Source organism: Homo sapiens, chromosome 3 (assembly GCF_000001405.40).
Source record: "Homo sapiens chromosome 3, GRCh38.p14 Primary Assembly".
NCBI lineage: Eukaryota > Metazoa > Chordata > Mammalia > Primates > Hominidae > Homo > Homo sapiens.
Genome location: NC_000003.12, coordinates 14,309,357 through 14,321,907, shown reverse-complemented (window position 1 = coordinate 14,321,907; position 12,551 = coordinate 14,309,357). Strand labels below are relative to the sequence as shown.

The following is a 12,551-nucleotide window of genomic DNA, read 5'->3' as shown; positions in this document are numbered from 1 at the left end:
TTTTATTTTATTTTATTTTAGACAGGGTCTGGCTCTGCAGCCCAGGCTAGAGTACAGTGGTGCAATCATACCTTACTGCAGCCTCAACCTCTTGGGCTCAAGTGATCCTCCTATATCAGCCTCCCAAGTAACTGGGACCACAAGCATGCCCCACCATACCTGGTTAATTTTTTCATTTTTTTGTAGAGGTAGGGTCTCGCTCTGTTGCCCAGGCTGGTTTCCAACTCCTGGGCTCAAGTGGTTCTCCTGCCTCGACCTCCCAAAGTATTGGGATTACAGGTGTGACCCACTGCAGGGCTCGGCCAGGGCTCTTTTAAATGAGAAGGGATGCTAGGTGGGCAACCACCTGCCTCTGTCCTGTGGCAGTCTTCAAGGAGTAGCGATAAGGGATGGGGAGAGGCTTGTGGTGACATCTGGGTGGCTGATTCTAGATTTTGGCCCAAACTTTCCCTTGGATTCTGTGATTCCTTAAACACTACTTTTGGGCTAAGGTGGTGTAAATGGGTTTCCACACTAGCTCAAGAACTGCTCTGGATGCCAGGCCCATTGGCCCCTTCTGAGGACGGTGGCTGCCTAGGAATCTGTGCCCATCAGGGGCCATGATTTGGGTCATGATCTGGTCACCATGCCAACAGTGGGTGGCCCAGTAACCTAGGACCCAGGACCTGGCAAAATGACAGTCTCCTCTCATGGAGGGAAATGCAATGGGGTAGCCCAGCCCCAGGCTTCCCAAAGACAAAGGAAGAGGTCTCCAAAATGTGCCAATGTGCTGGGTGGCAGACAGCAGCCACTACCCACTCTGGTGGAACAAGAACTGTGAGAGACTAAAAGGGCCTCTCCGGGGAATGCAGGAGATGGGGCCACGCTCAGTTCTGTGAGATCATGTCAATCTTGGTGCTCCAGGCAGAATTGGCTTCATATGGGGATAACAGACTATAGAATTTGATGACCTGGGTCCAAAGCCTAGCTCGTGCAGAGTTAGCTCTCTGAACTTCAGTTTCCCCACCTGTCAAATGCGGCCAATAATAGTTCCCATCTCTGTTGGAGATTTAATGAAATGTAGTAAAGCACTTGGCATACTGTCTAGAACATGGTAAGTGCTTAAGAAATAGCAGTAGTTTCAGTAGTTTTCTAAAAAATTGTTTTTGTTTTAGAGACGGGGTCTTGCTATGTTGCCCAGGCTGGACTCAAACTCTTGAGCTCAAGTGATCCTCCTGCCTCAGTCTTTCGAGTAATTGGGACTAGCGGTGGGTAATAAATAATAGTTTTAATATTATGATTATCATAGGCCCTCAGGAAACATTTGTTAAAAGGAAGTAAAAATAAATTAGGTCCCAACATTAGCCTTGTCACAGCTTGGGGTCACAAATATGGACATGGTAGGGTGTTGCTGGGCTGGGCAGGAAGCAGTTAGTATTCCCCAGCTCTCCTGGGTAGGCTCTGGCTGAGGGCAGCACGATGACTTCACAGGCAGATGTTCCCTGTCTCCTCTTTCGGATGAATGACGGGCAGCATTTGCCACCATAACATGCTTCTGGAGGAGCTGCTGGACTGCCCCACATGGCACAGGCCAAGAAAAGAGCCTCTTGACAGCTCTACTCCAGTATCTGAAATGCACCAAACAGCCCTCCAGAAAGACCTCCTCACATTCTCTGAGCAAAAGGCACCACTGCTCAATCAGAAACATGGACTCTGTCCGCGATGCCTCCTCTTTTCTCATTCCACTTCCAATCTATCCCAAGTCCCACGACTTTACCCCAAAGAGCTCTCTAGTCTGCACCCCTGTCTCTGATTCATCACCCAACATCCATCAGGTTGGCAGCTGTAACAAACAGTCCCAGGTCTCAGGGCTCAACACAAGGAAGGTTTGTCCTTTTCAGCACAGTCCAATGCAGTGAATGGTGAGTCTCTGCTCCATACAGTCATTCAGCAACCCAGGCTCCTTCCAGCCAGTGGCTTTGCCACCCCTCAGGCCTTGGAGTTCTGCATTGGACCCTCTGCAGGAGGCAAGCGGGAAAGAGAAACAGCCCAGAGGATTGTATGGGAGAGTTTCCTTGGCCAGGGCAGGAAGTTCCTTACATCACTTCTGCCCACATTCTATTGGCCGGAACTAAATCACATGGTCCTACCTCACTGCAGAGGAGCCTGGGAAATGTAGTCCAGCTGAGTGCCCAGGAGAAAAAGGAAGTAAGGCAAACACACAGCATTGTCTCTCCAGAAACATGCTTGTCCACATCCCCTTCATCTCTTGCCTGGTCTCCTTGAATTTGTTTCGGCTCTCTCCCGACTCTTCTCCAAAGAGCAGCCAGAAGGATGTTTTCCAAGACCAGAATCTGATCATAGCCTTTGTCTGCTTCAAACCCTCCCATGATTTCCCACTGCTAATAGGATACAGGCCAGCTTCCTTCCCAGCTAAGTTACGTGTGAACTGGCCACTGCTGACCCCTCCACACCCAGTTTTTCCCAGTTAAAAATCTCCCCGTTTTTCAGCTTGAGAACGTTGGTGATTTTCTTATTCAAGGTTTGCTCATTCAACAGAAATAATATATATGTATTTTTAATTAAGGTGTTCTAGGAGATCTTTTGAAGAGTTATGTAAATATAATATGAGAATGTGTTTGGGATTTTTTTTTTTTAGAAACTCAAGCCTTCTGAGTTTAGAAACTCAGGCCTTCTTTATTTCTAAAAGAAAAAAAATTTTTTTTTTTTCCCCTCAGACTAGGTAGGGTCAAATTGTGTCTCTGAAGTTCCACAGCAAACATTTGAACAATACATCTCCAGGCCTTGCTGTTCAAAGCCCCTTGCAATCAAATCTAATCTTAACCCAGCTTCCCAGCTGCAGGTGGTGATGTGTTGGTGAACTGGCTCTCTGGAGGGGGAAAAAAATGTTCTGACTTGTAGAGTCTGCCGATTTCCATGGTGCAAATACTTCCACAGTGGCAGATTTCAAGCTCCCAGGGTGACATTGTCAAATGCAGCATTGGAAGAGAGATGCACAGTTGGCTCTCATCAGCCAGTAGGACCAGCCCAGAGACTCTGACACTGAGATAATCTGGAAATTCCCATTATGCTGATGAGTTAACTCGGGCTTGATGAGGTTATGTAATTTGCCCCAGATCACACAGCCACAGAGTGGCTAAGCCAGGATTCAAACCCTGCCTGTATGGATCCAGCCTTTGTATTTAAGCACCTTAGTTTCCTGCCCTTTCCTTCTTTCTCTTCCTAACCAACTCCTGTTCATTCCTCGAAGCCCTGCTCAAGAGCCCTACTCACCTCTCTGAAGCCCTCCCTGACTTCTGGAAGACTTATTATGCCAAATAATGTTTAGATATGATATGATAGAGAAAGAAGTTGGGGTGGAAAGGAGATTTTCTGGGGAGCTGAAGAGAGAGAAGTTGGGGGAAAAGAGTGGGAGATGATGGAACAGAAAGCAGAAAACAGGAAAAAAAGAAAAGCAGCAAAGGAGATGTAACATGGCCACTGCAGATGTGTTAAATAGAACAGAAACTAAACAGCATATCCTCATAAGCCTTCTGAAACATGCTGCCCAGGAATCGCAAACTCCAGCGTCTGCAAGGGACTTGCAGAGGATGAAGATCAGGAAAACAGACCAGGTTTACAAGACAGCAAGGGGTAGCAGAGAGGGCACCCTGTCTCACAGGGACAGCCCCTGCTCAAGCCCAGGTGACTGTGGCCAGAAGACCCCAATCTCATGCTCCCTATGCCCCAGCTCACTGGTCCTGGTCAGTCTGTTTACTTATCTATTTTCTGAATTGGCAATCACAGCTAGCAGCCTGATAGGGCTAGGGGTAAGACAAGAGAGGCACAAAATTTAAAGAGGCATCCAAAAATCATTTCCAGATTCCAGGGGGAGTCTCAGACAACCGGAAGGCAACGCCTCCCGACCTCCACACAAACACACACAGTGGGCACACAAGGGTGTGCATACGTGCACACACTTAACAGGTGAGGAAACTGAGGCTCAGAGAAAGAAATGCATTTGCTACTGCCTCTGCCTGGAGTGTTCTTCCCCCACTCATCGCCTGGCTGGTGCTTCTTCGTCACTCTGCGCTGCACACACTGGTACTCAGGGCATGGCCCCAGTCCCGGGCAGCAGAGAGTGCACAGGGATGGGGTTTGCGTTGACTCTTTGCTCCCCGGCTGTGTGGCATTAGGCAAGCTACTTTAGCAACTTGGTGCCTCTGTTTCCTCATCTACATGATACTATGAGGTCTTCCTCTAGAATGCTCATCAAGATGAACCTGGAAGATGCCTGCAGAGCACTTAACACAGTACCTGGCCCAGAGTGGATGCTAGATACATGCTGGGCAAGATAAAGTAATGAGAAGTTGCAGGCATTAAGGATAGCCAGGTAATTAGGCCAGACTGTGGCCAGCTTGGAGCACCGCAGTGCTTTAGTGGGCACTGGGGAGTCATTGAAGGTACTTGAGCAGGGTAGTGACTGGCCGAAGGGGAGTGTCCTGGGACTTATTCTGGCACTGACTGTGTTGTTTATCAGTGGCTGGGTGAAGACCTTAGCTCCAGTTGAGACATGAAGGAATTGCCAACAAAAGCGCCCCGGGAAGCCCTGGAACAATGGCTTCTCAGTTGCCTCTGAGGAGTCAGATTCCTGCTGTCCAAACCACCCCACTTCCTGCTCCGAACCTGCTGGGAGCTGCGGAAGGTGCCTTTATCCCCTGGTAATGAGCCAGGGGGGGAAATATGAATTCATCCCTGGGCCATTACCAAGCCCCATATCCAACCTGAAACCTCTGCCAAAGGTGCCTGCACAGGCTAAGGAGACTGGCAATCCCAGCCTCTGGAGCTTACTTAGGCAAACAGCATCCCTAAAGTGTCTTTCATATTCCGTGTAGATGGCTACATCCGACATTAGCGCTTTGTTTGCACTTCAAGTTCAAAGAAAGTTTAGAGTGTTAAGTCTGAGATTAAACCCAATCTGTGGTTAAGGTTCCATATTAAAAGAAAGGCCTCTCTGTCCACCAGTGGGCAGGTAAAGGCTATGAAAGTATATAGATTAGCTTGGTTTAGAAGCTTAAGATCATAGAGTCTTAGTCTTATCTCACCCCTCTGTTTGTTGTTAGCAAACTGTCACCTGGTTAAGGTAAAAAACATTCTTCTCAAGGGCACCCAGCTAACTCAGTGTCAGGGTGGGATAGAGTTTGCCTCACTGGATTCTCAGTTTTGAAGGCACACCACACAATAAAATTGATTTGTCAAAAAATCTTCGTTGAGTGGGTGCAAATTCAATGTGGTTTGTTTTCAAAGCCTGTGCTTGACTTAGCAAGATGGAAAAAAAAGAAGACTGTCTAAAACCCGGTTCATAATTCAGAAAGATTTTTTTAAAAATCTGGCTGGTTTTAAAGTTGTAGGTTTCCAACTTCTTAAAAGTTATTATTTTTTAAGAGGATAATTTATTTTGGTTCTTAACTTTAATGGAAACTGGTTGGCAAAGGGTCTCTATGATGACCACATGGGGTCATCAACTGGTTGGTGAATTGGCAGTGATAGTCAAACCTCTCAGGTCTAAGGGAGGAAATAGGTTGAGGGCAAGCATCCCCATCCCCTCTACATCTATGCTGCGCATGGGCTTTGGAGGAGCCCAGCAGTGACTACGACTCAGTCTCAACATCGGGAAACTCAGGGCCATCTTTTTCCAACCAAAAAAGTTCACTTTCTATGTACCAAAGTCCATCTGTGGCACTTAAACTCCCAGAAATCTTTGTATGAGCACACAACCATATTTAGGGTGCCATATTTGCAGTGATGCAAGATTTGAAGCAGCCTAAATGGCCTTTAGATAGGTCAGTAAAAATGGGCACATTCAGCCTGTGGCCCAGCACTTTGGGAGGCTGAGGTAGGAGGATCTCTTGAGTCCAGGAGTTGGAGACCAACCAGGGCAACATAGGGAGATCCCATCTCTTAAAAAAAAAAATAGCCGGGAGTGGTGGTGCGTGACTTTGGTCCTAGCTACTCAAGAGGCTGAGGTGGGAGGATCACTTGAGCCCAGGAGGTCGATGCTGCAGCGAGCTGTGATCGCGCCACTGTACTCTCTGGGTGACAGCGAGACCTTGTCTCAAAAAAAATAATAATAATAAGGGGAGCAGGGGCACATTCAAACAATTTATTGAGACAGTCACTGAAAGGAAAAAAAAGTGCAGCTCTATACACCAATGCTGAGAGATCCAGAAGCATCGATCTGGGAAAAGGATGAGGGACAGAGCAGGCTGGTATTCTCCCTGGAGAGCAGGAGTGTGCACTCACCTTGTGCCTACGTGCCTACGTGCAGAAAACATTTCTGAGACGACGCAAAAGAAACGAATAGCTGGTCTGTGGGAGGGAGGCTCCGCCAGGGGAGGGAAAGGGGCTGACTTTTGGTTGGCACTGGCAATTTTGTTTACCATGCACAGGCATTATTTTTCAATGAAAAAGAGTTCCTTATCCAAGAGGATTAAAAGCGCACACCCACACAAAAACTCCTACATGACTGTTCAAAGCAGCACTATTCATAATAGCCAAAAACTGAAAAAAACTCAAATGTTCATTAACTGATGAATGGACACATAAAATGTGGTGTATCCACACAATGGAGTATTATCCAGCCACAAAGGGGAATGAAGTACTGGTACATGCTACAACATGGATGAACCTTGAAAACATCATGCTAGGTGAAAGAAGCCAATCACAAAAGACCACATAGTGTATAATTCCATTTGTGTGAAATATCCAGAATAGGAAAACCTATAGAGACAGTGTAGGGGTGAAGGAAAAACTTTCCATTCACTCTCAGAAGGTTTGCTGAAAAATATCCTGTTTTAGACCCGTGATTCCATAGTCACCCATAGTCATTCCATAGTCTACAAAAGATAGATTAAGAGGAGAAATGGAATACACATTTATTAGCATGCACTGGGGAAATATTACAGAGTGACTATCCAATATCCCAATGGGGTATGGATCCTTCTCTACCCTACTTCTTAGGGGAAAGGGAGATGGGGAAGTGTGGATGATGTTAGGATAGCGAATGACTTTTAGGGGAATTCACTGGGCTTGAAGAACATATAATGGCCTGGGACAAAGTCTGTTGGGCCCGCAGAGCAGACAATGGTTTATGACAAAAGTCTGTCCAGGTGTGTTGACAGACTTCAGTCTTCCTGCGATATGAATTCGTTAAAGAAAAATCAGGGAAGGGACAAATGGTAATTGTTTTCTTCTTTGGTGAGTCCAGACTTTACACAGATAAGGGAACGTGAGAGGCAAGCATGGAGTTGGGGGAAGTCAGACAGACCTTGAGGCTTCTTCAGTTCTGTGTGTCACAGTGCCATATTTTGGGGTATCTGTTTCTGAGCCCCCAAAACAGAAAACAGATTTGTGGTTGTCTGGAGGTGAGGAGGCTGGGGAGTGACTGCTAATGGATATTGGATTTCTTTTGAGGGTGGTGAAAATGTTCTAAAATTAGTGACGCATGAATATACTAAATATAGTGAATATACCAAAAGCCATTGAACTGTACACTTTAAAGGGGAAAATTTTGTGATGTATGAATTGTATCCAAATAAAGTAGTCTTTTAAAGAAGTAGTTACTATAGATGCTAGTTTCCTAGAGCTGCTGTAAAAATGCACCAAAAATGGGGGCCCTCAACAGAAAGGTATTGTCTCACAGTTCTGGGTGCTGGAAGTCCCCTACCACGTTGTGGGCAGGACCCTGCTCCCTCTGCCTGCTTCAAGGGGGGCTCCTTCCTTGCTTCTTCCAGGCCTGGTGGTTGCTGGCAGTCCTGAGTGTCCCTTGGCTTGTAGACCCATCATCCCGGCCACGTAGCCATCTTCTCCCTGTGTGTGTCAGTATCTGTTCCAAATTCCCCCATTTTATAAGGACACCCGTCATACTGGAGTGGAGCCCACCTTAATGAGCTCATCTTAACCTTGTTAAATCTGCGAAGACCTTATTTCCAAATAAGGGCATATTGCCAGAAACCTGGAGGTAAGACTTCAATGTATCTTCAATGCAAATGTATCTCAGTGTAAATGTTTTTCATAAAGGGACTGTATCTGCCCAGCAGGGGAGAGAGGCCACATTCAGAGAAGGTTAGCATGATACACTTGGAGGGCTGCAGCTATGTACGTTCAGCATAAAGGAGATCTTTCCTTGGGAATCAGGGATGGCTTCCTAGAGGAGACATTTGAGCTGGACTTCTTGTTGGGTAACTATGGAATCAATTGTCTACAACAGGCTATTTTTGAAAGTGAAACGGGGCACTGCTAATCATGACAGTAGGAGAGCACATATAAACCAATGCCAGGTAAACCAGACTCTATGGTCATCCTGGTCTTAAGAGATGGTGAGAATTTGAATATGCAGAGATTGAGGAGGAGAGGAAGGAAGGGCATATCTGATGAAGGGAACAGCAGCTGCAAAGGCTCAGAGGTGGAAAAAATAAAAAGCACCAGACGCATGCTGGGAAGATCTCAGAGTATTGGGAAGCTAGGAAGAGTCTTGAATGCTACCCTCAAGAGTTAGTAGTCCTCAGCCAAACTCCAAGACTAGTCCCTTGTGGTCAAACCGGGGGTCTCCTGGAGGAGGGGGTTTCCTGCTTCACTTTGAAGCCCTAAGGCCATTGTGCCAAGGAGACGCTGTGGAAGAAGGCACAGACACTATAAACCCAAACCAGAATCCCGACTAGCACAGAGTCACTTTGCCCAGCAGCCCAGAAGCATGAAGCCAACTTAGAAGGCCTGGACAGGACCAGACACCCATGGATTAATCTGCAGACATGGGCCAGCAACCTGTGGAAAACACACCTTTCTTTGCTTCATGTCTCAGCTCTGATTAGAGTCTGGAAGCCAAGGGAGTGTCCGTTTAGTTGTTAAAATCTTCAACAAACTCTTTTTATCTTTCTGGAAACTTTCCTACCATGATGTTTAATAGCCCACGTGTGTGTGGTGTGTGTGTGTGTGTGTGTGTCTGTGTATGTCTTTTGTTCTTTTCTTTGTTATTTTTGGAAAGGGATGCGTTGAAGATATCAATTTCTGGATCAAGTGAAAGCTGGTTTTTAGTCACTTAATCCCTTGGAAAGATATCAATCATCACATGTTTATCTTGCAAAAAAAATTTTTTTAAAGGGAAGTTTACATTTGGACGGGGTGGGATGCGGTGGTGGAAAAAGCATTTTACAGCAAAATGCTGAGGTCTGTGTGCCAAAAGGAGGACTCTGACCTTTCAGCCCACGCACTGCACAAGGGCTGTGTGCTCTTCTCCAGGTGCATGTCTGCCTGCGAAGGGACCCACCTCCTTTGCCCCTTGCCTCCTCACCTGTGCCCTACACCGCCAGGAGCAGCTCAGCCCTGACTGAGCCTTCCCTGCTGCTCCACCTAGCGCCGTGACCACTCCAAGCTGGCTTCATTGTCCGCTCTGCTCCCCAACTGATGAATGTTGGGGTACCCGGGAGCTCAATCTGTTGCCCTTCTGTCTTCTCTGTCCATGCATGCCCCTTGGTGGTTTCCTCGTTCCACATGCTGATGATGCCAAACGTGCATCTCCTTGCAGATCCCACCCCAGGCTCCAGACCTGTGTGTGCAGCTGCCTCCTGGATGCCCCTCGGTTGTCTAATGGACATCTCAAACCTCACATGTCTCCACTTGAAAAGGATGAGTTTCATGGAACCTGAGCATGCCCATATGCCCCTACTCCCTTGTGTGCCCCCACACCGTGCCTGCTCTTCCTTCAGTTGATCAGGTGAAAACCTCAGAGTCACTTTTAACACCTCCATTTCTCTCCTGTGCCAACAACCAAATTATATCCAAAATCTGACCACTTCTCACCACTTCCACATGGACTGCTGTGTTCAAGCCACCACCATCTCTTGCCTGCATTAGTCCAGCAGTCTCCTAGCTGACATGGGACTGAGATTCAGAATATTTGGGATCAAGTTCTATCCCTGAATACACATAGAATGCTGTCAACTTCATGATGCCTCTACTTCCTTATTGACAAATGGGAGAGACACATATTATGGACAACCTCTATCCAAATGAACTTTGCAGACCATGAAACATTACATAAATCAAACCCATATCCAAAAGAGAGGGTGGGGGTAGGAAGGGAGGAAAGAATGAAGGAAGGGAGGGAGGAAGGGAGGGAGGAAGGGAGGAAGGGAGGAAAAAAATAAAGAGTAGAAGGAAGAAAGGGAGAGGGGAAAGAGGGAGGGATGGAAGAAGGAAGGAATGAAGAGAGGGAAGGAGGAAGAAACGAAGGGAGGAAGGAGGGAAGACAGAAAGGCAGGAGAATGAAAGTCATTTTTTGGAACACTTATCCCACAGGTCCATTGCATTTCTGTCACCATCTCTAGCATTGGGGTATAACCCAGAGTTTCTTTAATTTGCAGATGTGCCCGGGGAGACTGTGGGAAATGTGTGATGTGCAAACCTAAAGCTGTCTGAAGAAAGCTCACCTCCTGTCCCCGTGGATCTGCAGGTCTCCCCATAGACAACTTCCCAGGTTGAGAGGATGCCTTGTTCCCTGTGGCCACAGACTCCATTTAGTAGGAAGAGGAGGGATCAAATTCAGCCACGTGGACTCCAGGGAAGTCCATCCATGGCCCTGCCATGTAAGAAGGTGACCCCAGGACACAGGCTAAAAACTGCACCATGATGGACCACGTCATATCCTTGCCAGTATTTTCCATTCCTTTGGGTAGATACGAAGGAGTGTGATTGCTGGATCATATGGTGAGAGTGTGTTTAGTTTTGTAATAAACTGCCAAACTGTCTTCCAAAGTGGCTGTGCCATTTTGCATTCCTATCTTGCTTGCAGCTCTCCCATGTTTCCCTAGTGCCCTCATGAGAAAGCCCAAATCCCCTAGCCTGGCTCATGAGAACCCTCAGAACCTGACCCTGGCCTTCCTTTGTGGTCTCACCGGGCCAAATTCAGAGTTCTCCAGAATTTGAAGGAAGTGATTACTCCTGGGAAGACATAGAGCGAGGCCAGGCCACGTGTTGGCATGGGATCACGTGGATCTCGCGGCCTGACTGTGACTGCCAGACAGCACCAGCACAAGTGTCCATTTGCTGCTGGTGTGTCTTTCACACCTCTCAGGTAATTGATAGACTTTTAAAATATAGGATTTATTTTTTAGAGCAGTTTTAAGTTCATGGCAAAATTGAGTGGGAAGTACAGAGATTTCCCATACACCCTTTAATATGGCTTGGATCTGTGTCCCCACCCAAATCTCATATTGAAATATAGCCTCCAATGTTGGAGGTGGGGACTGGTGGGAGGTGATTGGATCATGGGGACAGTTTTCTCATGAATGGTTTAGCATTAACCCTCTTGGTGCTGTCCTTATGATCGTGAATGAGTTCTCCTTAGATCTGGTAGTTTAAAAGTATGTAGCACCGCTCCCCTCTTGCTCCTGCTTTCACCATGTGATATGCCTGCTCCCCCTTTGCCTTCCGCCATGATTCTAAGTTTCCTGAGGACTCCGCAGAAGCTGAACAGATGCCGGCACCATGCTTACTGTAGAGCCTGCAGAACTGTGAGCCAATTACATCTCTTTTCTTTATTAATTACTCAATCTCAGGTATTTCTTTATTACAATGCAAGAACAGCCTAACATCCCCACCAGAATGGAACATTTGTTATAATCGATGAACCTATGTGGGCACATTAGTATCACCCAAGGTCCATGGTTTAGATTAGTGTTCACCCTTGGTGCTGTGCATTCTGTGGGTTTGGACAAATGCATAATGGCACTTATCCAACGTTATAGCATCACACAGAGTAGTTTCACTGCCCTAAAAACCCTCTGTGCTCAGCCTATTCATCCCTTCCTCTCCCCAACCCCTAGCAACCACTGATCCTTTTCCTGTCTCCATCGTTTTGTTTTTTCCAGAATGTCATACAGTTGGAATCACATACTATGCAGCCTTTTCAGAGCAGCTTCTTTCCCTTAGTAATATGCATTTACATTTTCCATGTCTTTTCATGGCTGGATAGTTCATTTTTTTTAGCACTGAATAATATTCCATTGTCTGGATATGCCACAGTTTATTTACCCATTCACCTGCTGAAGGACATCTTGGTTGCTTCCAGGTTTTGGCAATTATGGAAAAAGCTACTGTAGACATCCACATGCACTTTTTGTGTAGGCATAAGTTTTCCATTCCTTTGGATAGATATCAGGGAATGTGATTACCCGGTCATATGGTGAGAGTATGTTTAGTTTTGCAATAAACTGCCAAACTGTCTTCCAAGGTGGCTGTGCCATTTTGCATTCCTACCGGCAATGAATGAGAGTTCCTGTTGCTCCATATCCTTGCCAGTATTTGGTGATGTCAGTGCTCTGGATTTTGGACATTCTAATTGGTGTGTGTAGCTGGACTCTTTTTCATGGAAGAGCGGGCAGGACTCAGGCTTGGAGTCCAGGCAGGCAATAGCTTCCAGCTAGAGTTGAATGGTTTTGCTTCGTTTCACCATCTTGACTTCTAGTTATCTCTCTTTATAGCAAGTAGTGTTTACTTTCTAGATAAATAATAAT

The 12,551-nt window shown here is 46.5% G+C and overlaps 2 annotated features.

Moving 5' to 3' along the window:
• Positions 1,997-2,056: an enhancer, noted in NCBI's record as "active region_19503". NCBI's record gives its function as "activates an Ori minimal core promoter by ATAC-STARR-seq in GM12878 lymphoblastoid cells {active_cell/tissue: GM12878}" and the evidence as "EXISTENCE:reporter gene assay evidence [ECO:0000049][PMID:35858748]".
• Positions 2,077-2,386: an enhancer, noted in NCBI's record as "active region_19502". NCBI's record gives its function as "activates an Ori minimal core promoter by ATAC-STARR-seq in GM12878 lymphoblastoid cells {active_cell/tissue: GM12878}" and the evidence as "EXISTENCE:reporter gene assay evidence [ECO:0000049][PMID:35858748]".